Below are 25,018 nucleotides of genomic sequence, written 5' to 3'. Positions count from 1 at the left end.
AGGCAGGGGAGGGAGGAGCGAGGGCGGGAGGGGGAGGAGGGAGTTGGGCAGGGAGGGAGGTTGGGGGGGGGGTGGGGAGGGAGAAAAAGAAAGAAAATATTTTCCGTGTCCCCGCCTGCAGAGTCAGTGTGCGGTTTGGGAGAAAATGTGTCGGATATTTTGGGGCGGTCACGTGGGCGGGCGGGCTCCGAGAGGCCCCGGGACAGTCCCAGCCTAGAGCCGTGCCCCCCCAGGAGCCCCCCAGTACGGCGAGCCCCGGACATTGCGACGCTCCATCCAAGAGACTGCCCGACGCCGGGACCTCGGGGCTCCGCCGCCTCCCTTCCCCCTCCCACTCCAGGTGAGTCAGGCGGGGAAGCAGGCTCGCCCGCCCCGTCGCCTGGGTCCTCCGGCGAGGCGGCTGGGGGAGGGGGCGCGGAGGAGCTGCACGGGCGAATGCCCTCCCGAGGCTGGCCAGGCTGGCCGCCGGGCTTGAGGGGGGCTTCTTGCCCCGACCCAGGCCAGTCCTGCTGTGGGAAGGGAATGGGGAAGATTTTAACAGGCTGAGGATGGGCTGGGTCATCTGCCCTTCATTTTGGTGCATAGCAGAGGACAGCATTTGGGGAAGTCTTCAGCCAGGGGGCATTCCTCCTTATATTTTTGTGCTGGGAATGTGAGAGAAGACAGGGTTTCCTCTCGCGGGGAAAGACTACCACCCCCTTACCCCCGGGCTCTGAGGGGTAGATTTGATGTTCCATGCTGGTCCAAGTTCCTCCCTCCCCAGTGGAATGGGACAGCTTGGACATCAGAAGGCAAGGAAAACGTCCAGAGGCAAGTGAGCCTGGCCCTCCGCGTCCAGGAGTTCCGAAGGACTGGTGCATAGGATAGGGATCTGTGAACTTTCCTTGAAGCGCTGGATTCCCTCCCACACGTTCCCAGCCCAGGTGCGAGCCTTGGCTCCCTCCAGCCAAGGTGGGGGGCACCTCTGGAGTATTCTTGAGGGAAGCCCAAATGGAACAAAGAAAGAGCAGGAAGACCGGGACAGGGACCCAGGAGTGCTGGTCCCAGAGTTCCACTGACGCTGCCTCTCTGTCTTTAGCAGCTACGGCCCAGTTCCCTCAACCTGACCCAGTATGTAGAAGCCAGTCTCTGCAGGCGGCCAGCGGGTAAGAAGATGCTTGGTTGTTAGTGGTGGTGGGGGCAGGGGAGCCTGAGTAGGAGGTCTTCAGGGCAAGAAACTGAGATGACTGTCCCGCTTTAGGGCTCTGGTCCTGGGCAGCTGGAATCCCAATCCTCAAGTCTGAGGCTTCTGCCCTTAGGGTCAGATGCTGAGTTGGGGTCAAGGACCATAGCCAGCATCTCATATCCTTGAGGCAAGTAGAGAGAAGACAGGGGAGTGGGGGTAGTGTGTGCAGGGAGCCTGGAGCTTGGGTATCCCATATAGACAGACATACACACACACACACACACACACACACACACACACACACACACACACGCACTGTGGCCTACAGCCTAGTAGGCAGCATGGGGCACGCCCCCCCACACCCCGGCACACCCCCACCCCTGGCTCAGAAAGCCACCTAACTGGCACCTCCAGTTCCCCCCTCTGCCCCACCCTGTCCATGCCCTCTGATGCCCACACACATTCCACTGGCATTGCCTGCCTGCCTCCTGGGCACTGCCCCTCCCTGGGGCTAGTAGGGTGGAGGGAGGGCACCTGGGGATGAGAGGTGGAGACTCAAGGGTCTGGACTCCCCCAGGGATGGCACAATGCCAAGGAAGCCTGGCCCACTGCTGCCTCCTGGGGAGCAGGCTGGGGGCCCAGGCTAGAGCAGAGGATGCCTGGGTTCTCTGCCCAGGCTGGAGATGGGGTCATGGAAAAAGGTGGTCGTGTTTATACAGAGGGGAGGGGGGCAGCGGGTGGAGAGTGGCCGACAAGAGCAGCTTTGTTCCAGGCTCTGGAGCGGGCAGGGCGACAGGGAAACACACCCCCCTCCATCCGGCAGCCCCCTTCATCCATGCCCTCCCCTCAACTCCACCTCAGCTCTAAGAGAAGCAGCTTTGTAAGAGCCCCTCTCCCCTAGTCTGTCATCCCCGCTGCCCCACCATTTGAGATGGCATCTTAGTAGAGGAAGAATGTTCTCTACTTTCCATGAGTCCCCCAAAGAACCAAGGCACCTGGGGCCTCAGTTTAGGACTTCCTTTTACTCTGCACTGCCTTCAATTCCTTAGTCCATTCTCCTACCCTGGGTTTAAGACCCTCCCCTTCTCTTCCCAGCCACGACAGAACCAAGGCTCAGAAATGGGAGGAATCTCTACCCCCTTCCTCTCTTCACTCAACTCCCAAGTCCCTTCTCTGAGGCAAAATAAGAGGAAGGCCAAGGACAACTCTCATTGGCTCACATGCAGCATCATTCCTTGGTGAGGATCAGGAGCTGAGCATCCCTCTGTGGGGACCCCCACTGCCCTACCTGCCTGTGTTTCCCATTGGTAGGTGAGAAGCAAAGACAAGGAGGGCTAAGGCAGAGAGCCCTGTTCCCAGTCTAAGCCAAGTCTGGGGAACATGGGGATGGGGGAGTCCTCTAGTAGCTTCTCACCCTTGTCATTGGAGGGGTTAATCCACCTGGAATGTGGCCTGGCCAGTTGAGCTGTGGCCCAGGGGCCTCAGGGGCCCCCAAACTCCTGGCTCCATCAGGGCTTAACTAGGGATGAGAACTTCGGAGGGGAATAGGAGAAGGAAAAGGAGAGGGACCCTGGAGGCTTGGAGCTCAGACTTTTAGGGCCTGCGAAGACACTGGGCTAAAGAGTTTGAGGGTGCTGGGTGTATGGGTGGTGCCATGGTGAGGGGCAGGGGATGCTTCATTCATAAGGGCTGAGTGAAATGTGATGGCGTTGGGGTCTGGGTTCTTGTAACCTCCATGACAGTTTACCCTCAAGGGCTTGAAGGCCAAGGTAGAGGAGAGAAAGAAAAACAAGCAAAAACAAAAATAAAAACCAGAGGTATAAAGACTGAGAGCTATACATCCTAGAAGCAAATACTGATGGAAAGAAAGGCAGATATACCCATCCCCTACCTCTGGGCCTGCCCACCCCATGGTCTCTCTGCATTTTAGTCTCTTGGCCCTTCTCTGCCCTTCATAGCAGTCTGTTATGGCTCTGACTGGTGGAGATACCCAGGCTGGGGTGACTTTTCCTCCCTAGCCCACTAACTGCCTAGAGAGGTGAGAAGTTCTGGGGCTCCTAGGAAAGCCAAACTTTTCCTTTGTCAGGGGATGAAGATAGGAACCACCTACTTAGCACTAGGATTCCCATCTCCTCTCTCTACCTCCTTCTCCTCCCCTTCCCCTGGGCTCAGGTTTAAACTCTTAGAGGGAAGCCTACTTTTGGGGGAGGAGAGGTTGCAGGGAGAACTTCCTAGAAACAGGGAGCCCAGGGATAAGAAAGAAAAGGAGGCAGAATGCCCGGGCGTGTCGCTCACGCCTGTAATCCCAGCACTTTGAGAGGCCAAGGTGGGCGGATCATCTGAGGTTGGGAGTTCGAGACCAGCCTGACCAACCTGGAGAAACCCCATCTCTACTAAAAATATAAACATTAGCTGTCTCAACAAAACAAAACAAAAAAAGAGAGAGAGAGAGAGAAAAAAGGAGGCAGAGAAGTAAAGTCAGCTGACCAAGAAGCAGCTCCTTGGCATCATACACTTGGCACAAGTGGGGGCTCCATCAACATCCTTAGATTTGAAGCAGTGGGTACAAGAGGGCTTACAGGGTGAGGAAAAATTGGAGACAGGAAGAATTGGGAGAGGAAACTGGAAGAGGGAGTGTTGAGGAAAACAGAGAGGGAAGTGCTTACTGAAGCAGAGTATGGAGGAAAATAAGGTACAAAGAGAACTAATATGAGACATTTACATCACATTTCCTATGTGCCCTACATTATGCCAGACACTTGACATTGGTTAATTTATTTAGTCCTCACAATAACCATATGAGGTAGGCCCTATTATTAGTCCCAAGTGACGCATGAAGAAACTGAGGCACAGAGAGATTAAGTGACATGCCTGAAGTCCCACAGCTAGCAAGTGGTGGGGTACAGTCCAGGTAGTCTGGCTCTAGAGTCTGTCCCCCTAACCTTTGCCTTGTACTCCTCTCCAGAGAGCTGTAGGGCTCCCAGGTTATAACAGAGTTATGTTTGCCTTCTCCAGGATGGTAAAGAGTTTGAATCTGGGCTCCCCCACTTGCAGCCATGTGACCTTAAGCCAGTCACTTCACCTCAGTTTCCTCATATGTGAAATGAGAATCATAACTCCCAGTTCACAGGACTGATGTGAGGTTTAGGTCAAATGCTTAGCCCAGTTGTGGTGATTCATGATCACTTCCCAATCTAGGAGTTCTCTCCACCAGAAGTCCTTAGACCATCATTCACCTTGGGACCTCAGTTTAACCTTTCCTGGAGCTCCTCTGGAGAGTTTCTCAGAGCCTGCATAACCCCCTGCCGTGCCCTCTCTACCACACTGCAAGGGCCCTGAGCCAGGGCAGGATAAACTGTAGCAGCACAGAGGGAGAAGACTGCAACTGAGAGAGGGTCACAGGGCTTGGAACCTCAGAGTGGTCATTCTCTCATCTCTCCTTTCTCTCTCTTTCTCCCTAGGACTTTTGGAGGCCCAGTGGGCAGGCCAGGCAGGGCGGGTACGGAGCCTCCCAGGCTGGGGCAGTGGGCATGGGCAGGGGCTGTGGCTGAAGACCTCGCCCGCCCACTGCAGACCCCAGGGGACTCTCACACCGCAGCTGCCATGGCCACCAATAAGGAGCGACTCTTTGCGGCTGGTGCCCTGGGGCCTGGATCTGGCTACCCAGGGGCAGGTTTCCCCTTCGCCTTCCCAGGGGCACTCAGGGGGTCTCCGCCTTTCGAGATGCTGAGCCCTAGCTTCCGGGGCCTGGGCCAGCCTGACCTCCCCAAGGAGATGGCCTCTCTGTGTGAGTCTCAGGGATCTTGGGGAATGAAGGCAAATGTTAACAAGAAGGCATCAGGAGGGTGGATGGTAAAAGAGTTGGCACCCCAGTTAGGAAGGCAGGCAGGGGACAGGGGTTTGGCCTAATGGAGTAGTAGTGAATAATGGAGGGTGGTAGTGGTGGTGAGGAAGGAGTTTGGATGTGGACTCAATGGAAGTGTTTGCAAATGAGAGTTCTCCTGTCAAATAGGATAGGGAGGTAGCAGGCCTAAAACTTGGGGGGTGGGTATCTAAAACTGCCTCCTGGGTCAGTCAACTAGTAGAGGGGAATACCTTTGTGTGGGCAGCTGGGGGTGGGTCTGGTGCAGCGTGAATCTGCTGCTTGCTTGCAGTGGGGAGTTGGAGGGAGCCAAACTGGGAAGCAGAGGAGTCTGGGAGGCCAGTCACCTGGCTCTGTGATCAAGAGGTGAAATTGGGTTGGGTGCAGTGGCTAACGCCTGTAATCCCAGCACTTTGGGAGGCCGAGGTGGGTGGGTCACTTGAGGCCAGGAGTTCGAGACCAGCCTGGCCAACATGGTGAAACTCCCCCTCTGTTAAAAATGCAAAAATTAGCTGGGCGTAGTGGCGCACACTTGTAGTCCCAGCTACTTGGGAGGCTGAGGCACGAGAATTGCTTGAACACAGGAAGCAGAGGTTGCAGTGAGCCAAGATCTTGCCACTGCACCCCAGTCTGGGCGATAGAGTGAGAATCTGTCTAAAAAAAAAAAAAGAAAAAGGCTCACGCCTGTAATCCCAGCACTTTGGGAGGCCAAGGAGGGCAGATCACCTGAGGTCAGGAGTTCGAGACCAGCCTGACCAACATAGTGAAACCCCGTCTTTAAAATTACAAAAATTAGCCGGGTATGGTGGCGTGTGCCTGTAATCCCAGCTACTTGGGAGGCTGAGGCAGGAGAATCGCTTGAACCTGGGAGGCAGAGGTTGCGGTGAGCTGAGATCGTGCCACTGCACTCCAGCCTGGGTGACAGAGCAAGACTCCATCTCAAAAAGATAAAAAATAAAAAAAGAAACCCCATCATTACTAAAAATACAAAAATTAGTGGGCGTGGTGGCGCATGCATGTAATCCCAGCTACTCAGGAGGCTGAGGGAGGAGAAGCACTTGAACCCAGAAGCGAAGGTTGCAGTGAGCCAAGATCGCGCCACTGCACTCTAGCCTGGGCGACAGAGCAAGATTCTGTCTGAGAGAGAGAGAAAAAAAGGTGAAATTGCTTTGAATTACATGGAGGCTGCAAAAAGGGGAAAGAAATCCTGTGCCAGGTCCCCAAAGATGTGTGGGGTCAGGAGACTGTGCTTCTTGGTTCTGGGGAGGATGGAAATGACTGCAAAGGAGGTAGCTTTTGTACCATAAGTAATCCAGAGAGGCAGAGGGGGTGTTCCAGAAGCATCCTCTCCTCCAGCGATGTGGATCTGGGCTCCTCCTCTCCCTGCAGGTCTGGCATAGAGCCTGCATGCTGTGCAGATCCCTACTTGTTCCCCAGGCCTGCCCTCTTTGGGTTAAGCCTTTGAGTGCTGACAGCAGCCAAGGCTTGGGCCTCTCCTCTCCTCCTCCCTCTGGGACCCCTCTCCTCCCAGTTGGTAGTCATTCCTCCTGGCCAGGCCATTACAGGTGGGGGTTCCAAGCTGGTTAAGAGAAGGCTTCAACTGGGGCCAAGAGAAGGTGATTGAAGGGCGGGGGAAAGAGCAATTTCAGAGACAGAGTTGGAGAGAAAAAGACAAAAAGATAAACGCACATCCTTCATGGCTCCACGAGCGCAGAGACAGAGGTAGAAGAGAAGGCGCCCTGCTTCCAGGAGGGGGCACGCAGAGGGTTGTGTGTCTGTATGTGAAAGGGGTGACTAGGCTGGGCTGGCAGCTCCACTGGAAAGAGTGTGTTCATCGGAGAAGGGGTGAGTGTGTGGTGCCTCCAGACTTGATGCAGTTGTGTGTGCCCAGCATCTCCCTGGGCCTCTGCTCATGTACAGAATTCCAGTGTGTGCAACAAAGAGTCAGTGTGAGGAGTGAGGAGGGATTTTGTAGTGCTGCTGACGCTGTGGCTGGCGTTTGGTGAAGCCTGCTGGTGGCATGTCTGTAGTCCAACAGGGGTTATTTGAGTGGCATGTAGGTGAACAAGACAGCACAAAGTACCCTTTTTGGAAACTACAGCTGGGCTTCCCCAGACTTCATTTTCACCCCATGAATCTGTCCTAGGGACCTGGGGAAGTGGGAAGGAACCACCCTCCCCACATGAATGTACTTCTGGCAGAGAACCCTACAACTCAGCCTCTTGGGACTTGATTTTCTCAGGTTCTGGGAGAGGCAAGTAAAGGAGATGGAGTGGAGAGGGAGAGGAGAGAGAATGGTAGTGGGGATAATGCTAGAGCTAGTACCCAGTCCCCAGTGACGTCCCCCTTGCGCCCCTGTGCCATGGACACACTGAGATCAAGGTCAGGGTTCAAAGTGAGATTAAGGTAGGGAAGTGGTCAGGCCGGGCTCCATCTTCGAAGGCCATGCTGAAGGAGGGGGCTGAAAGGAGAAATCCAAGGGAGGAGCCAGAGCCAGGGCAGGTAGCTGGGGAGGGTGCGGCTAGCCTGGAAGGACAGGCCTGGGCAGGGAAGTGGCAGGAGGAGGGAGGAGGGGAAGGCTTGGGGGTGGGTTGCTATGCGGCTTTAATGGGGGTGGGGCATGCAGCACCTAGTGGTAGCAGAGAGGAAGACATAGGGGAGACGAAGAGATCCAGGAGTCTGGGAAACCTTCCAGAGTGGGAGAGTAGCAGAAGGATGAGAGAGTGTCCTCTCTCATTTCTCCGACCTGCTGTCCCTTTTTGGCTGGGAGCATCTAGTGGAGAGGGTTTAGAGGCTTAAATCTGATGCCAAAGGCATACTCACATTGAGTTTGTGCATCTCATCACCCTCTCCCTTATTCTATGGATGACACACACACATTCTCTCTCACACATAGACTAAGAGAGGTGGCCCTTGAAGAGGTCTGGCACTTCTCCCTGGGGCTGGCTCTTGGATCTTATTGCTGGGTCCCTGGCACCTTGGGGACATCCTTGTTGAGAAGTGAAGTCTTGCTCTACTTCCTGGGGCTGTCTCGGGGTCTGAAGGGGGGTGAGACAGGCATCTCAGAACTGTCTGGTGGTGGAGGGGAGGCTCAGGGAGCACGTGCTGCTGAGGCAAGCACAGGCCTGTGCTCATGGAAAGCAGAGGGGTGTGTGTACGTGTGTGTGCGTGCGTGTGTGTTCATGCATGTGCATGAAACCTCAGGTGTCTGTGTCCCTATGTATCTCTATGTTTGTGAATCTTAGTGTGTTCTAGATTTGCTTTCTATAGGGAACAGAGTGTGATGAAAGAGAAGGGAAGCCTTGCCGTCCTCCCACCCCTGAGCAGATAGCTGTGGTCCTGATGACCTAGCCCAATTTGTCCTCTGAACCTGGTGATGCTGCCCTGGCCATGGGGCCACTGTCCCTGGGGCAAGGAGCCCAGATTTCACCACACTAAGTCACCACACATGGAGAAACTGAGGACAGGTTGGCACAGAGAAAGTCTTGCTTAAAAGAAACTGAAAAAGAGAGACTCACAGACAAGACAAGGGACAGCTACCCAGGCCCAAAGGTGCAGACACAGAGAAGCCAGGCACTGGGAGAAGCAAGGAGAACAAGCAGGCGGGTAAGGGCAGTGAGGCCTCCTCCAGGAAAAAACCCCAGTCGACTGCCTCTTTTCCCCTCCCCTCCCCGGTCTCTCCTCCTCCGGCACAGGCTCCAGCTCCAGGCCGACACAAACGGGGCTTTGATTGCAACAGGAAACCTCTTGGGCGGGGGGGGGGCGGGGGGAGCCGGGCAAGCCGCCGCCGCCAGGGCCCAGGCTGCACCCCCCTCTCCTGGCCCCCTACCCGGTCCCAGCCCCCATCCTGCCCAACGCGCCTCACATCCCTGCTTTGGGCCCCACTCTCATTCACACCTCGCTATTCTTCTGCTCTTCTGCTGCCCCCTCCTCCAGAGACCCCCCTCCCATTGCCCTTCAGGTGGGACTCCTACCTCAGGACTTACCCTTCTGGCAGGGCCTGCTTTACTTTGAAATGCCCCCTTTTCAGCTTTTCGAGGGAAGGTTTTAGAAAAAAGGGAGAATTTAGCGTGAGGAATTCAGAGCCAGTTATCCTCAAGCCCCATCCAGAAGGTGGCAAGGAGGGAAAGGCAGGGTGCATGAGGAGTTAGCTGTCCCTGCCCTGCCTCGTCCTGGCCAAACTCATCCTTGCCAGGGTGGCAGGGACTCTAAGGGGTGACCCCGAAAGAATCTGAGTGCTAATGGCTTTGTTAGTTGGGAAGGGGTACTCTCCTCTTTGCCTCTAGGGCTATGCCTTTGTGGGGCTCTAGCTGGGAGGGGGGTATGCCCTGGTGGTGGGGATCATAGGGAAGGGGGTGAGTCAGGCAGCAGCCCCCCTTCATACTCCCACCAGGATGGTGGAGAACATCTGGTTCCCATGAAATGCTAGAAGGCTAATGGGTCTAATTGCTGCAATAAGGGCTGGGGAAACTTTGGGGAAAAGAGGGGGCACTAGATCCCCCACCCTCTTACCTTCTCCCCAAGGCTGTACTAAGTCTGTCTAGAATGGGGGGGTCAGGGTTGATGGGGAGGGCGGGCCTGACACCGTAATGCCTGGTCCTAAGGACCCCCTCCATGCAATGCCTGGGATGCACACACAGATGGGGTGATGAGTGGGGTGCATCTGGTGAAGAGAAACGGGGGCTATTGAGGACTCATGGCTTCCTGGAGCCCTCCCCCAACTCCTCCTGTGCCCTCCTCCCAACCCCCCTCCCTGTGGCCTGGCCACTTCTGGTTCTAATTACCAACCAGGCAGGCCTGACTTAATTGGGACCTTTCAGATTTCTGAGGGGGAAGGGGGGTACTGACAGCTTGAAGTTGACTAATCAAGGCTCTTTCCCTCTTGTTTTCGGGGTACTCCCTATTTTGCACTTAACTGTTTTTGTTGTTGTTTGCTGCTGGTCAGATTCTGATTCAGAAAGTTCTTTCTTTCTCTCTCTCTCTCTCTCTTTCTTTCTCCTCCTTTCTCTTTCTTCCTTTTTCTTTCTTCTTTCTTTCTCTTTCTTTTCTTTCTCTCTCTTTCTTTCTTTTTTTTGTGGGGTTCGGGTGACTGGATTCAGAAATGGGTATTTGGGGTTGGGGGAGGAGAAGGGAGTTTACACTGGGTTGGAAAGAGCAGTGCATTCCCTCTCCATCCCTGCTTCAAGCCCCCTAGTCAGCCTTGCCACCCCGAGGTTTCCTCGCCATCCACAAGTCAGGCCTTTTCCCAGCCCCGGCAGCCCCCCGCCCCTCCCCCGCGCCCGCCATCCCTCGCCTACTCTGGCACCCCTTCCTGCCCTTTATTCTTCCAACAGGCGCCCCACTCCTGCAGCACCCCAGTGCGCCCCCCACCCGGTACAACAGATTCTTAGAAAAGCGCGCCCCGCCCTGGCCCAGCCACAGCCGCCTGGCGGGGGAAGGGCCGGGCCGGGCGCCGCTCCCGCTCCGCGGCGCTGCCCGTGTGAGCGGCGCTGACAGAGCCGGCTGGGCAGGCAGGCCGGGCGGCCCGGCGGCTGAGGGCGGGGCGCGGGGGAGGGGGGGATTTCCGGGAGTCGCCGCTGCTGGCGCTGTCCGGGGCCAGGGTCCCCCCATTCGGCCCTGCCGGGCCAGGGCAAACTTCTGACGTGGCCAGCCCCCCGCCCACCTCACCCCCTTCTCCGCCGGGCGAGGGCGCTCAGTGCCGGAAGGGGCAACCCAGGGAACAGTGTTGCGGCCTTGGAGAGCTGAGGGGCACTAACCGAAGGGAGGGCAGTTATGCCTAGGCTAGAGGGTATTTAAAGACCCTGAGAACAGTCAGTGACCAGAAGCGCCCCTATTGCCGAGGGAGCCCTTGGCAGTGAGAAACTGGAGGAGGGGAGTTGGCCATCAGGGGCAGATTCATCGAGGCGCAGTTGGCACGGCAGGCACAGCTTATGGGGTAGTTTTGTGCTCTAAAAGTGAAGTTATGTTCGAAGAAGGAGCATCGAGAGAGACGGTCGAGGCGCTTAGGGGGCGTCAGTTGCGGGATAAGGCTTCGGGGACTCGGAGGGAGGCGGCCCGGGCCGCGGCGGAGGGCGGACTGCTCGGGCTAGGAGGGGTAGACTCTGGCTGCGCTGGAGGGGGCGGGGGGACTCCGCGGCAGCGCTGAAGACGGCCTGGGCGGGGTGGGGCGGGGCCGGGTCAGGAGGAGGTGAGCGCGCTCGGCCACCCGCCCCGAGGGGGGTTCCCAGAGAGTTCACGGCGGGAGCGCGCTCCGGCCCTAGGACCGCGGGTGGGGAGACGGGAAGGAAGGAGGAGGCAGCGCGCGCCGAGCCGCAGGAATGCACTTTTCGGCCCTGAAGCGGGCGCGCGGAGGGCGAGGGCGGAGCCAGGCCTGGGAATGAGAGGGGTGGAGGTAGTGCAGGTCCCGAGCCTCAGGAGAGCAGCTGCGCGCGGGGACCTCCACGTTCCCCTCTCCCCAGTCATCCTTAACACCCCTGTATTGACTAGTGTGAAAAAGGGAGAGTTTGGGGAGAGGGAAAACTCTGAAAGGAAATGCTTATGCTTGGTTCCTCCTCTCCTTCTTCCAACCCCGACCTGGGCACGCGCCTCAGTGCAAATGCATGCAAAGCCTATGAGCTGTGGAGAGTATGCCTGCAAGCATTCTCCCGAGCAAGGTGTGTTTGCACAAACGTGTGTGCACCTATGATTTTATATGCGTGCTCACATGTATGTTCACTCTTGCATATTTGCAAATTCTTGGTGCCTGATAAGATAAATGCATGCACGGATGTGTGTCTAAGCAAGCGCGCGCGCCGCGGAGCGAGTGTACGTATGTGTATGTGTGCGCTCCACTCTCAGCTTTGCTCATCTCGGTGCCCGGCCCCCTTCGCTCTCCAAGCCCCACCCCCCACCCCTCCAGGCTTCGCTTTTAAAAAAGGTCTCCCCAGTGCTAGCTGCCGAAGCACCCAGATAAGAGCTGGACGGAGGCTAAAGCGGCAGCCCCAGCTTCGCGCCCCGCCCAGTCCCTTTCCCCTGCTGGGGATCCCCCCTCTTCCCCGCCCACCCCTTACCCGCATGCAGCCCAGCGCCCTATGCTAGCCCTCCCCCTCCCCCCCTGCTGGAGCGGGGCGCCGCCGGGGGAGGAGGGGGAATCGGCTGCGGGTCCTTGGTGTTTCCAGCACCCAGTTTCCCTTCAAGCCGGGTCGCGATGTACGACTGTATGGAAACGTTTGCCCCGGGTCCGCGACGGCTGTACGGGGCGGCCGGGCCCGGGGCCGGCTTGCTGCGCAGAGCCACCGGCGGCTCCTGTTTCGCCGGACTTGAATCTTTTGCCTGGCCGCAACCCGCCAGCCTGCAATGTAGGTACCGGAGTCCGGGGCTGGGGTGTAGGGTGCAGGAGAGGGTGGGATTTACTCTTTCCGTGTGTAAAGAGTGGAACTGAGGTGCAAGGAGGAGCTTCTGGCCCTTTCTATGTAAGGTACTGGCCCTTTAAACGTGGGGGCCTCAGCGTCTCCTTTGCGTGTGTGCAGTAGTGTTTGGAGTGTGTGTGGTTTTTATGGTGGGTGTTTAGCTCGAACCTGTGGTTGATGCCACTCCAGAGTTCCTGGGGATAGGGAGAGACCGAGGTGTGTGGGTAGTTTGCGCCTTCACGTCCGTGGCCCTGGAAGGATATGACACTCAGGACCGTGGGTGGCGTTTGTAAAGCCCATGTGGGAAGCTGGCAGTGTTAAAAATATCGTTTGCAGAGCGTGTGAATCCCTGGAGTGTGCAGCGCCTTGCCTAGGTGGTGTGGGTGTGGGAGCAAGGGTCTCTCCACCAGTGTCGCCTGCGACAGCTGCCAGGTCCACATGGCCTGTGAGGGGATGTTTGTGGCGTGAGGCCGGGAGGGCGTGTGCCCCTGCGTGGCTGCGGGGGCGGTTTTGGAAAGTGCTGTGTTCGAGAGTGCATCCTGTGTGTTCTCATGCCGGGTGGAAAAGGTTGTGCACACAAGAGGGAGAAGGCTGAGTTTTGTACGCCACCCCCATATAAAAAAAGAAATGTTTGGAAACGTGTATGCGGTTATATGCAGAGATTACTTTTTCCTATGGCTCCAACACACAACAACTTCAGCAGGAAGCGAAAAGTTTAAAGCAAAGTCTGTGTGTGTGGTGGGGGGTGGCCTGAAGTTGACAGCGGCAGGGCGAGCACCATTACTGGGTCCCCAAATATCTATCTTCCCCCTCCGTGAAATGGGAGATGCCAGGCCTGGGGCCCTGGAACCCCTTTCCAGAGCAGTAATAAAAAGCTGGGGACTGAGAGGCAGTAAAAATGAAGTCCAGATGAGAGGCGGCTTTGAAGCTTGGGCCGCAGTGCCTGGCGGGGGTGGGGTGTGGGGAGGGGCCAGGAGCGCAGCCTGGAACACCCCCCAAATTTACCCTGGGCTGGGATGTGCTCGCTGCCTGGGTGCGGACGGCCCGGGGATGAGGGGCTTGGGGGCACGCTGGGAAGGGTGGGAAGGGGCGGGCAGCGGGCGGGGCGGCGGGCGCTGGGGGAGTGCGCACGCCAGGTCACCAAGCCCCCGCCAACGCGCCTCGCTCCTTGGCACCAAGCAGTGCTGTTTACAAGTTCGGATTTTTTTTTTTGGTTCCAGAGCAGAGCTGCTCAAATTTAACAACTGGGAAGCTGGAAGAGGGAGATGGCAAACCAGGAGACCGGACTTGACTTTACTTTTGGGTGGGGTGGGGGAAGAATTTAAAAGTGTGTCATTTAAAGAACCGAGAAAGCATGGAACTATTGCTTTGCACCAAATCCCTGTGAATTCTTAACTTTCCTCTCATTGCCCAATAGGATGGGGAGTTGGGGTATGTTATATGTTGTGGGGGTGCTGAGATGGAAAGAATCTTTCAGGAAGGGCTTCTGGGGGCTGGGCAGAGACCCTGTCTTTTTTCAGGCCTATGGAAGAAGCCCTTTGGGCTTGACTGGCCCTAGGTTTTTGAGTTTTAATTGGGACCAATAATTTTGGCCTCTGGGATCCTGGTGGACACACAAAGCCAGCTTCAGGCCTGCCCGCACACACTTTCAGAGGGAAGGGTGCTTGGGGGGTGGAGGTGGGCTGGATGTGTGTGTGTGTGTGCCTGTTTGGAGGCTTTGGTGTCCTGGTGCTGCGTTGGCAGGCTGGGGTGTTTGTCTGGTGGTAGGGCTGTTCCCTTGTGTGGCCAAGTGCTGGCTGTTGTGTGTCAGCCTTGTGACTGGTACATCTACCTCCACGGTGTAGCTGGAGTGAGTGTGTCTCTATTCTGGCTGTGTGTCTGTGCCAGAATCCAGTGAGGGTTCTAGGATCCCATTGTAATATGCCTGCTTTGGTGCCTTATGTGTTGTTAACCTGTGAGTGTGTGTGTCTCCAAGGAGGTGTGTGCTAGATTGTGAGTCCAGGCTGCTCAGCTCTGAGCCTCGCAGCTGGGAGCGTTTACAGCCGGTTATAAAGAGTTTGTTTGAAGCTCCGCGCAGCCTGGTCAGGAATTTCCTCAATTTCAGCAATTTGGGCTTTAAAAGGAGAAAACCCCAGAGCCCACCCCCATCCTCCCCAGCAGGGGCCCCTGCCTAACCCAGGAGCTGCATCCCAATGGTGGGGTCTAAGCCCGAGTCTGGGGAGGGGATCTGATTGGAGTAGACCCAGTTAGCTTTCTGGGGCCTTGACCTCACAGATTGACCTCGGAGCCACTAGGCTGCACTTTAGGGTTCAGGGGGTGGGGATGTGACAGTATCACTTAGACAGGAAAAGTTGCCCCCGGGCCTGTCTCCCTAAGGCCCCCAGTCTTATAATTGGCTGGCACTGCCCCATGCCAGTCTGACCGCACCCAGGCCCTTGCGCAAGAGAGGAAATGAGGCAGCGCTCTGCGGGCAGGGAGGGCGTCAGTGCCAGAGTGAGCACCACCCCACGCACAGGCCTTGGGCAGAACACGTGCCCTTGGAGGACACAGTGGTGGGTCTGAGGAGTGAGGAGAGGTTGGGAAAGGCGTTCCAGCCCTCCTCACATCTCTCAGCACCAGCCCCTCCTGGAGCCCCCATCCCTAGTCTTGAATAGACTCCAGGCACCCTTCTTTCCCCCCTCTCCTCTCTCCTTTTTCTTTGGGTAATCTCACTCTGGCAGGATTCTTATGCTAATTGATTGTATGTGTGTTGGGGGTGGGTAGGGCTTCCCTCCTGTGGGGTGGGTGGAGCTAGCGTGGAACCCTGGCATCCTGGGCATTCCTTCCGCCCTTCTGGCTGCGTTGGGGCGGGCTTCTGACCAGGTGGGCTGCAGAGGGTTAGAAGGGAGAAGGTGTTCATGAGGTGGGTGCGTGGGACACACCTTAGGGAGGGTCTTAGGAATTTTTTTGCATTAACTTGGGCCCTCCAGGTTTGGGCAACAGGTCCTACAGGTTGAATAATTTACAAATTTTCCGAGCCTCTGAAGACCAACCACACGCGCGCGCGCGCGCGCGCGCACACACACACACACACACACTTACCCAGCAGCCTTTTGAACAGAGCAGAGCATGTCCTCCCCATACTGTGGGGCTGAGACCCCTTTTGAGCTGCAATTGGGTATTTTCAGAGTGAAGACATAAGCTCAGAGAGGGTCCAGAAACAGGTTCCCTCCCCCATCAGTCCTGTTTACCTACTGTCACCTGACTTCTCCAGTTTGCTACACCTCCAACGGCTTCCAGACCTGAGAAACTGAGCAAACACCTCAGCCTCTGCTTCCCCAGCTTCTCTGACTCACAGCCACTTGGATCTGCTGGTGGTGTGGCACTGAGCTGGTCACTTCCCCTCTCGTGGCCTCAGTTTCTTCAGGCGTGAACCAAGGCTGTGGTGCATCCTCTCACTCACTCCCCTGAGACCTTTGCCCCATTTGCTCCACTGTCTCTGATGGTTATTCAGGGGTAGTGTGAGAGAGATAAGCCTGAGGAGTTATCCCCCCTGTACTACTGGAAAGGAAATGAGGTCCTGGTTTACCTGCTAAGCATCCCAGCAGGTCATTTGGCCAGTAGCAGCTACAGGAAGCCTGTCATTGCCTACCTGCCCCCAGAGTTATTGCCCCACAGGGAGGACAGTGGGAAGTAGACTACCTGACAAAGATATACCAAAGAGACAGAGAGTGACTAGAGAGCTCAGAGCTGCAGGGCTTTAACTCTTCTACCCACCTCCTGGATAGTTAGGGAAACAGGCCCAGAGAAGTCAATTTCCGGAATGGCCTTGGTCTGGAATTTGGAGGATTAAACATGTCATATAGGATGAGGGCTGGCATTCTTGTGAACAAGTTGGTTAGACTGTGGAGGGTAGAGGGTGAACTAGGGTCACAACAAGCTGTGGTAATAGTGGTCATTAAGAGGATTCTGACAGTGCTTACTGCTGGAACTAGTGCACTGTGGTAGTGATGGCTGTCACCAGTGGGCCAAGGAACAAATGCACATGGGGTGTGTGTGATGAGGAAGCCTGGAGGTCTGTGGGGTCCTTCTCCCCTGACCCTCACATCACTGCTTCCCTCCCAGCGGTGGAGACACAGAGCACCAGCTCAGAGGAGATGGTGCCCAGCTCGCCCTCGCCCCCTCCGCCTCCTCGGGTCTACAAGCCATGCTTCGTGTGCAATGACAAGTCCTCTGGCTACCACTATGGGGTCAGCTCTTGTGAAGGCTGCAAGGTGTGTACGTGGTGGGAGTGGGCAGACGGGGGATCCAGTTACCCTAGTAAGATGAGAGACCAGGCACACAGATGCTGTGTCTGAGCAGCACTGCTTTGCACATAGGTGGTTAATAGATTAGGTCAGGCTTGGGGCAACCTGCAAGGCCAGTGAGAGGCTGGTACTCCCAGCATTGTGCTTCAGAGGCCCTCTCTCTTTCCCTCAACTCCAGGGCTTCTTTCGCCGAAGCATCCAGAAGAACATGGTGTACACGTGTCACCGCGACAAAAACTGTATCATCAACAAGGTGACCAGGAATCGCTGCCAGTACTGCCGGCTACAGAAGTGCTTCGAAGTGGGCATGTCCAAGGAAGGTAGGCTGCCATCCTTGGCTTGGGCAGGAGCACTTCGGTCCTACCCTATGGCTGTGGCCCTCTTTCCTCTGGCCACTCCCACTTCCCTGACCTCTGAGACTTGGCCTGCCCTGGGGTGCTGCCTTCTCCCAGGCCAGTCTTATTTGATTAGCTCCATTCAACCAGGAGGCCCCACCATTTCCCATTCTCCCTCTCAGGGAGCTTGACTCTTCCTCTGAATGGGTGAATAAGTAGGGTCTCACATTCCCCCTGTTTCATGGGGGAAATGAAGCCAGTGGGCTTGCCAGTCCCTTTCCCTCCCCTGGACTGAGCCAGAGATGGATATGGGGTGGCTCCTCCTCTCCACCCCCCCCTCGCCCCCATTGTGCTGCCAAGGCTATAAGTGGATATCCTGCCGCCTGCATATCCTGCCCCCCCTCCCCCAGCTCCTGCAGGGTGACAGGAAGGACAGGATGGAGCCGAATGGCCTGGGGAAGGAGCAGGGGCTGCAGGCCCTGGGTGGGGCTGGGGAGAACCAGCCTGGGAATAGGAGCTATTATAGGTGATAGGGAAACTGAGGCAGTAATTACAGTGCCAGAGAATAGATATTCATGATAAGGACTGAGCATATTAAATTAGGGTGAGAGAGGACACCCAAAGGGAGGCTCTGAGGGTCCTGACCCTCTCCTTGCGCCTCCACCCACAAGCTGTGCGAAATGACCGGAACAAGAAGAAGAAAGAGGTGAAGGAAGAAGGGTCACCTGACAGCTATGAGCTGAGCCCTCAGTTAGAAGAGCTCATCACCAAGGTCAGCAAAGCCCATCAGGAGACTTTCCCCTCGCTCTGCCAGCTGGGCAAGTATACCACGGTGAGGAATGGGCAGAGCCCAGTGAGGGCAGGGCACTCTTCACTTTGGGGAATGGGGCTGGGTTGTGTTGGAGGCTATCATCGACTGGTGCTGAGGACAAGGAGGGCATCAGAATGCAGAGGAGAGAGCTTGGGATATTGGTAGAGAGAAGACAGCCCCCAGAGGTGGGCCTTAGCTTGCCTTCCAACCTTCTACCCCTCCCCTCTGCAGAACTCCAGTGCAGACCACCGCGTGCAGCTGGATCTGGGGCTGTGGGACAAGTTCAGTGAGCTGGCTACCAAGTGCATCATCAAGATCGTGGAGTTTGCCAAGCGGTTGCCTGGCTTTACAGGGCTCAGCATTGCTGACCAGATCACTCTGCTCAAAGCTGCCTGCCTAGATATCCTGGTAAGTTAGGCCCTGTGGGTCCTGCCACAGCCCGACCCACATATGGGACCCTCAACAATTCCTTGATCCATGCAAAGATTTCCTTACCCTGCACCCCCTGCCACACATGTGGGACTCCTCAGCTCTCTTTTCGTCTTAGCCTCTGCCCCTATGACCTGATCCTAGACTTTTGGATGCCCTGTCTCCTCCTGACTTCCCGGGACTACCCCTGCCAAGCCTCAGATCCTCCACCTCTGCCTTCTCCATGCCTGCTTCAGGTTGCACTCACTGGGGACCTAACCTCCTCACTTTCCACTCATTCCCTCTTTTCCCCATCCCCCAGAAACAGCACTAACCCTCCTCCACCCCCCACCTCCAGATGCTGCGTATCTGCACAAGGTACACCCCAGAGCAGGACACCATGACCTTCTCCGACGGGCTGACCCTGAACCGGACCCAGATGCACAATGCCGGCTTCGGGCCCCTCACAGACCTTGTCTTTGCCTTTGCTGGGCAGCTCCTGCCCCTGGAGATGGATGACACCGAGACAGGGCTGCTCAGCGCCATCTGCCTCATCTGCGGAGGTGCGGGGGCGCCCCCTGGCGTCTGCTCAGTGCTCAGTCTCCTTTCCCACCACTCCATGCGGAATCTGTCTGGGAGGGGGCGTGGAGGACCCAGTGGTCTCTTCTGCTGGTAATTCTTGCACCTGGCCCCATCCAGAGAGTTCTGAAACCCTGTACAGGCTTCCCAAAACGCCGGTTGGTGATCAGCCATCTGTCACTGTGTCTTCCCCATCTCTTCCTTCCCCTCTCACTCCAGTATACTTGTCCCCATAGACCGCATGGACCTGGAGGAGCCCGAAAAAGTGGACAAGCTGCAGGAGCCACTGCTGGAAGCCCTGAGGCTGTACGCCCGGCGCCGGCGGCCCAGCCAGCCCTACATGTTCCCAAGGATGCTAATGAAAATCACCGACCTCCGGGGCATCAGCACTAAGGGTGAGTCATGAGTGGGTGTCCCCTCTCTGTCTTCCCAGGGCTGTTGGTCTCCCAGGTCGGACAGGAGGACACACAGAGACAAGAACAGAGTAGTTGAGAACCAGGCAATCTACACTGGAATCCTAGCTCTGCCACATAGTAGTGGGAGACTTTGGGCAAATTGCTTCTAAACCAGTACTGTCCAGTAGAACTTTCTGCAATGATGGGAATACAATAGTCATTAGCCACATGTGGCTATTAAGCATCTGAAATGTGACTACTGCAACTGCAGAATTGAATTTTTAATTCAGCACAATTCCAAGTATGTGTGTGTGTGTGTGTGTGTGTGTGTGTGTGTGTGTGTGTGTATATATATATTTAGAGACAAAGTCTTGGGCAAATTGCTTTACTTTTTTAATCTTGTTTGTAAACTGGGCTATTCTTCACGTACCTTGTAACGCTGTCTTGAGGACTAAATTAGTTAATATACAATGTAAAGCCAGGCACCATGGTGCACATCTGTAGTTCCAGCTACTCAGGAGGCTGAGGCAGAAAGATCAGTTGAGGCCAGAAGTTGGAAGCTGCAGTGAGCTATGATTGTACCTGTGAATAGCCACTGCAGTCCAGCCTGGGTAACCCAGCAAGACCCTGCCTCTAAAACAACAACAACAACAACAACACAACAAAAAAAACCTGTAACATATACAGTGTACTTAGAATTGTGCTGAATTAAAAATTCCATTCTGCAGTTGCAGTAGTCACATTTCAGATTGCCACATGTGGCCAATGACTACTGTATTCCTATCATTGCAAAGTTCTATTGGACAGTCCAGGCTTAGAAGGATGTCTGGAACATAGTGTTTGATAAATATTAGCTGTGGTAATAAATGTTATTAAGAGAACAGGACTAGGAACAAGTGACAAGCTCTGGACATTCGAGAGTGGGGTACTTGGGGAGTGGGGTTGGAAGTTGTGTGCATTGCGCTCGCTGAAGAGACAGCCTGAAAGAATGGGATGAATGGGCAGCAAGCCTGGTAGAGAAGGCCAGGTAGAGGTTCCAGGCAGAGGAGTGGCACCCAGGAAGCCTAGTGAGAAGAGGATGAGCTGGGGACGGAGAGGTGGTGGGCCTGTGCTGGGCGCCCCCTAGGGGAGTCAGGGGCAGTTGAGAAAGGTTAGGGAGATGGCCTTAAGGGCCATGTGCCTCTGTCCTCCTGAGCCTCTCTCTTTCTCTCTCCATTGTAGGAGCTGAAAGGGCCATTACTCTGAAGATGGAGATTCCAGGCCCGATGCCTCCCTTAATCCGAGAGATGCTGGAGAACCCTGAAATGTTTGAGGATGACTCCTCGCAGCCTGGTCCCCACCCCAATGCCTCTAGCGAGGATGAGGTTCCTGGGGGCCAGGGCAAAGGGGGCCTGAAGTCCCCAGCCTGACCAGGGCCCCTGACCTCCCCGCTGTGGGGGTTGGGGCTTCAGGCAGCAGACTGACCATCTCCCAGACCGCCAGTGACTGGGGGAGGACCTGCTCTGCCCTCTCCCCACCCCTTCCAATGAGCTCCTTGTTTTTGCCAAAGTTTCTAGGGGTGCCTCTGTGTTCATCCCCTTCCTGATCTAACCGGCTCCCTCGCCAGTCCCGGGGGCCTGCCCTGCTCCCACCAGGAGAGAGGGCAAAGGGATGAGCCTGGGTTTGGACTCTAAAATCTCAGCACTGCCCCATGGGTCCTAGACTTCCCAGGGCAAGAGGAAGACCCTGCCATTCCACAGCCCCTTCCTCTGCCAGGTGCTTGGCTCTCTGAGAGCAAACAGGAACACTAGAGACCAAAAAGGGGACAAAGGAGAAGGGCTGAGCCCACCTTCTTGCTCCTACCCTTGGTGCCTAATGCTGTGTGATGCACCTGCAGGGTGTGTGCTAGCCTCTGTGCCCCGTCCTTGTGCCAGGTCAAGGTGGGGGCAGGCTGGGCCCTGCATTTCTGGGGCAGGAACAGAGGGTGAAAGGGACAGATAGATGCAGGTCCATTCTGCACCTCTTGGCTCGGGTGCAGAGTTCACCCTGTGCCCTCCGTTATAAGTCCCTCCCCCAGCCCTGTCATGTGCCTTGGGCTCCTCCTGCCCTCCATCTCAGCCATTGGGGCAGGGACCCTCCTACACTACAGAGGGGCCAGGGGATCCCTCTCTCCCTAGTGCCTTCCACCCTTTACTCCCCAGAGCAGCTTGGCCCAGGGAGGGGGGATGCTGCTTAGCTGATCCCGCCCTGACCCAGAGGAAGCCTCTATTTATTTATTAGCTTTTGTTTACACCGTGGAATTGACCCCTTCCTCCAGGGGTCTTGGGTGGGGGAGCCCAGGGCCCCTGTGACCCCTCCTTTCTTCCTCCAATCCCCAGTTTGTATTTAGCTGCCAAATAAGATTCCCATTGGCTCCCTGTGTTCTCTTGGGGGGTCAGGGTGCTGTCCCCTCCCCTCTGTTTACATCTCCCCTCTACCCCGCTGTATCGCATATTGCTGAGTTTTCTATTTTTGCAAAATAAAGTGATGGAAACTCATGAGATGTGGCTCCCTTTAGGAGGTGGTAGGGAAATGACCAGCTGACCTGGTGAGGGAGCTGAGTGAGGAGGGAAAGCTTGTAATTGATTGGACTTTGCAGCTTTCTTGGTAGAAGAAAACAGGATGAAGTGTGCCTGGATTGTGGTGGGGACAGGATGGGGGAAAGGGAGCCCATGGGGACTCACCCTGAGTGACCGGGTTTCCCACAACCACCAGGTGTGGGTTCAGAATCTCACTCTGTCGCCCATGCTGGAGTGCAGTGGTGTGATCTCGGCTTACTGTAACCTCCACTTCCCAGGTTCAAGCAATTCTCTTGCCTCAGCCTCCCGAGTAGCTGCAATTACAGGGGTGCACCACCACGCCCAGCTAATTTTTTTTATTTTTAGTAGAGACAGGTTTCGCCATGTTGGCCAGGCTGGTCTCGAACTCCTGACCTCAGGTGATCCGCCTGCCTTGGACTCCCAAAGTGCTGGGATTACAGGCGTGAGCCACTGCGTCTAGCTTGGTGTGGGTTCTTATGTTGGATCCTGTGGATCTCTGGGAGGGCATGAATGGACTTCAGAGGTCTGTAAGCCTGTCTCCACCTCCAGTTATGCATATGTGCATATCTGCTTTTCTCTGGGGAAGGAGTCCATTGAAGTTTTATTTATCTTTTTGTTTTTCATTTTTTTTCTTGAGACGGAATTTCACTCCTGTTGCCCAGTCTGGAGTGCAGTGGTGTGATCTTGGCTCACTGCAACTTCTGCCTCCCGGGTTCAAGCGATTCTCCTGCCTCAGCCTCCCAAGTAGCTGGGATTACAGGGGCGCACCACCATGCTCAGCTAATTTTTGTATTTTTAGTAGAGATGGGGTTTCACCATGTTGGCTAGGCTGGTCTCGAACTCCTGACCTCAAGTGATCCACCTACTTCAGCCTCCCAAAGTGTTGAGATTACAGGCGTGAGCCACCATGCCTGCCCTGAAGTTTCATTTAGTTCTCATGAGGGCTCCTGGCCCCAGAAGAGAAGAAGCCCGCATCTAAGCTACAGTGTTACTGTTTTACACCAGCCCCTCACCCAGGGAGCCCTCTGGCCTTCTGTCCCCAACCACCCTGCTATCACCTTATACCTTACTCCCCCCACCCTCTCTGTTCCCACTCTTCACCCCATGACCTCCACTCACTGCCACCTGCACTGTTACCTTCTTTCCGAATATCTGTCCTTGCTCCCACACGCCTTCCCTCTGCAACACGCCTTTGCAGTGCCTTTGGCCTCTACTGCTGCACCCTGTACTCTTCCCTTCGCCCTCTGTGACTCCCCTCAAGCCCCTCCTCCGTGTCCTACCTTCCCTGGGACAGTGCCTTGCCTACCTTGTTCCTGGCTCTCTTCATTGGTGACCTGTGGTTATGACAAAAAAGTTGAGGATGTGGGAGTAGGGGAGAGAAGAGTGGAGGGCGGAAAGCAGAAGAAGAAAGTGAAAGAAGCTCTAGAGGAAACCACAGGGCCTGTGGGGAAGGAGGGTCATTGCCGTGGTAACCCCTGGTTGTGGGGGAAGGGTATAGGTCCTGGCTATCCCATAGCCTGAGGCCAGCCAAGCCCACCCAGAGAAAGAGCCCCTCCTCTCCAATTGTCCCCTCCTAGCAGCTACACCTCTGCAATCCATCTGACATTTATTGAGCACCTACTATAAGATGGGCACTTGGCTAGGTGTGGTGGCTCCAGCAGGGAAGCCTTGTAGAGCCAGTCCCTGCCTACAAGGAGTGCTCCTTCTGGTAGGGGAGATCGACCTGTGAACACAGACCTCATGTCTAGTTCCCTCTCAAAGCTCTTAGTGATCTGTATGGGCCAGGAGCAAATCCCATTAATATTTTCCTGCTCTCCCTACGGGCTTCATCCTTGCCTTGGCTTCAGCTGTTGTTCCTGCACTCTCTGCTTCTCCCAGTTCACCTCCTCCACCCCTTTCCCAGGATCCACTACTGTGTTGGCTCCTGGTTCCCCAATCACATGCTCTGAGCCTGGCCCTATGCCTCTCTCTTCCAAGTTTCCAGTTGTGTGGACCTTGAATTTCTCAAAGCCTCTTCACTTCTCACCTCTGCTACTTCTCATCCCTACTAATTCTCTTATCAAGCCCTTACTTAGTATGTGCCAGGTAGTCTTGTAGGCAATTGATATGAATTATCTCTTTTAATTCTCACGACAATCCTGTGAGTCTTGCTGGACAGATGAGAAAACAGCTGCAGGCAGGTTTAAGTAACTCAGCTAAGCTCCTTACTACTAGTAAGTAGTAGAGCCAGGATTTGAACTCTAGCAACTTGGCTCCAGAGCCTATGTAGTCAAGCACACTTATATAATGTATCCTGGGTTTTCAAAATGAACAAGTCTGTAATTTCTGGCCTCTCTACAGTACTTACTGCCCCTATTCCCTCCTATCATGTTCCTTCCTATATAAGTAAATGGAGAGATCATGAATTTTGGAGGCAGGCAGACCTGGATTTAAATCCCAGACCAGCCGAGTGTGCCTGTAATCCCAGCTACTCAGGAGGCCAAAGTGGGAGGATTGCTTGAGTCCAGGAGTTACAGACCAGCCTGGGCAACACAGCAAGACCCTGTCTCAAAAATAAAAAACAGGCTGGGCATGGTGGCCCACACCTGTAATCCCAGCACTTTGGGAGGCCGAGGTGGGCAGATCAATTGAGGTCAAGAGTTTGAGACCAGCCTGGCCAACATGGTGAAACCCCGTCTCTATTAAGAATATAAAACGTTGCTGGGCATGGTAGTGCACCCCTGTAATCCCAGCTATTCGGGAGGCTGAGGCAGGAGAATCGCTTGAACCTGGGAGGCGGAGTTTGCAGTGAGCTGAGATTGTGCCATGGGACAGTGAGCTGAGATTGTGCCTGGGAAACAGAGCAAGACCCTGTCTCAAAAGTTAAATTAAATTAAAATAAAAAAAATAAAATAATAAAAATTTAAAATAAAAATCTTTTTTCTTTTTTTTTTTTAAATCCTAGACTAGCTACTTACTAGCTGTGGGACCTTGGGCAAAATTCTTTATTTCCTGCTTCCAAGCCTCAATCTCTGCATCTGTAAAATTGGGGCTTGGGGGAATATTAACCCCTATCTTATGAGATTGTTGTGAGGGTTAATTGTAATATGTTACGTTCAACACATGACAGGGGTTCAATAAATGGGCTTCTTTCTTCCAGATCTCTGTATTGTCCACTCCCTTGGCTCAGCCCCACCCCTATCTGCACCACCTTCTAGATCAGTCACCCCCACCAACCCCAAATCTTCCCCA

The 25,018-nt window shown here is 55.3% G+C and overlaps 1 protein-coding gene across 5 annotated transcripts, besides 7 other annotated features; it reads left to right on the top strand.

Annotated features, from left to right (window-relative positions):
- Positions 105–21,745, top strand: RARG (retinoic acid receptor gamma). Of its 5 annotated transcripts, NM_000966.6 has the most exons (10): positions 105–340; positions 1,079–1,145; positions 4,627–4,952; positions 16,520–16,668; positions 16,880–17,021; positions 17,708–17,868; positions 18,079–18,255; positions 18,614–18,818; positions 19,071–19,229; positions 20,451–21,745. In NM_000966.6, the coding sequence occupies exons 3-10, from the start codon at positions 4,769–4,771 to the stop codon at positions 20,636–20,638; spliced, it is 1,365 nt and encodes a 454-aa protein (NP_000957.1). In that variant the 5' UTR covers positions 105–340; positions 1,079–1,145; positions 4,627–4,768; the 3' UTR covers positions 20,639–21,745. The 5 variants fall into 5 exon arrangements, with proteins under 5 accessions (NP_000957.1, NP_001230659.1, NP_001230660.1 ...); NM_001243730.2 differs by lacking the exon at positions 4,627–4,952; NM_001243731.2 differs by lacking the exons at positions 4,627–4,952; positions 16,520–16,668.
- Positions 290–419: a silencer, noted in NCBI's record as "silent region_4500". NCBI's record gives its function as "represses an Ori minimal core promoter by ATAC-STARR-seq in GM12878 lymphoblastoid cells {active_cell/tissue: GM12878}" and the evidence as "EXISTENCE:reporter gene assay evidence [ECO:0000049][PMID:35858748]".
- Positions 10,381–10,730: a silencer, noted in NCBI's record as "silent region_4499". NCBI's record gives its function as "represses an Ori minimal core promoter by ATAC-STARR-seq in GM12878 lymphoblastoid cells {active_cell/tissue: GM12878}" and the evidence as "EXISTENCE:reporter gene assay evidence [ECO:0000049][PMID:35858748]".
- Positions 11,291–11,340: a silencer, noted in NCBI's record as "silent region_4498". NCBI's record gives its function as "represses an Ori minimal core promoter by ATAC-STARR-seq in GM12878 lymphoblastoid cells {active_cell/tissue: GM12878}" and the evidence as "EXISTENCE:reporter gene assay evidence [ECO:0000049][PMID:35858748]".
- Positions 11,911–12,250: a silencer, noted in NCBI's record as "silent region_4497". NCBI's record gives its function as "represses an Ori minimal core promoter by ATAC-STARR-seq in GM12878 lymphoblastoid cells {active_cell/tissue: GM12878}" and the evidence as "EXISTENCE:reporter gene assay evidence [ECO:0000049][PMID:35858748]".
- Positions 12,375–12,669: a silencer, noted in NCBI's record as "tiled region #13987; K562 Repressive DNase unmatched - State 1:Tss". NCBI's record gives its function as "represses a minimal TATA promoter and a strong SV40 promoter by Sharpr-MPRA in K562 cells {active_cell/tissue: K562}" and the evidence as "EXISTENCE:reporter gene assay evidence [ECO:0000049][PMID:27701403]".
- Positions 15,434–16,047: an enhancer, noted in NCBI's record as "H3K4me1 hESC enhancer chr12:53610051-53610664 (GRCh37/hg19 assembly coordinates)". NCBI's record gives its function as "activates a minimal SCP1, AML or CMV promoter by ChIP-STARR-seq in primed H9 embryonic stem cells {active_cell/tissue: H9 hESC(primed)}" and the evidence as "EXISTENCE:reporter gene assay evidence [ECO:0000049][PMID:30033119]".
- Positions 16,262–17,035: an enhancer, noted in NCBI's record as "H3K27ac-H3K4me1 hESC enhancer chr12:53609063-53609836 (GRCh37/hg19 assembly coordinates)". NCBI's record gives its function as "activates a minimal SCP1, AML or CMV promoter by ChIP-STARR-seq in naive H9 embryonic stem cells {active_cell/tissue: H9 hESC(naive)}" and the evidence as "EXISTENCE:reporter gene assay evidence [ECO:0000049][PMID:30033119]".

Source organism: Homo sapiens, chromosome 12 (assembly GCF_000001405.40).
Source record: "Homo sapiens chromosome 12, GRCh38.p14 Primary Assembly".
NCBI lineage: Eukaryota > Metazoa > Chordata > Mammalia > Primates > Hominidae > Homo > Homo sapiens.
The sequence above is the reverse complement of the archived record's forward strand: the minus strand, read 5'-3'. Positions and strand labels throughout refer to the sequence as shown.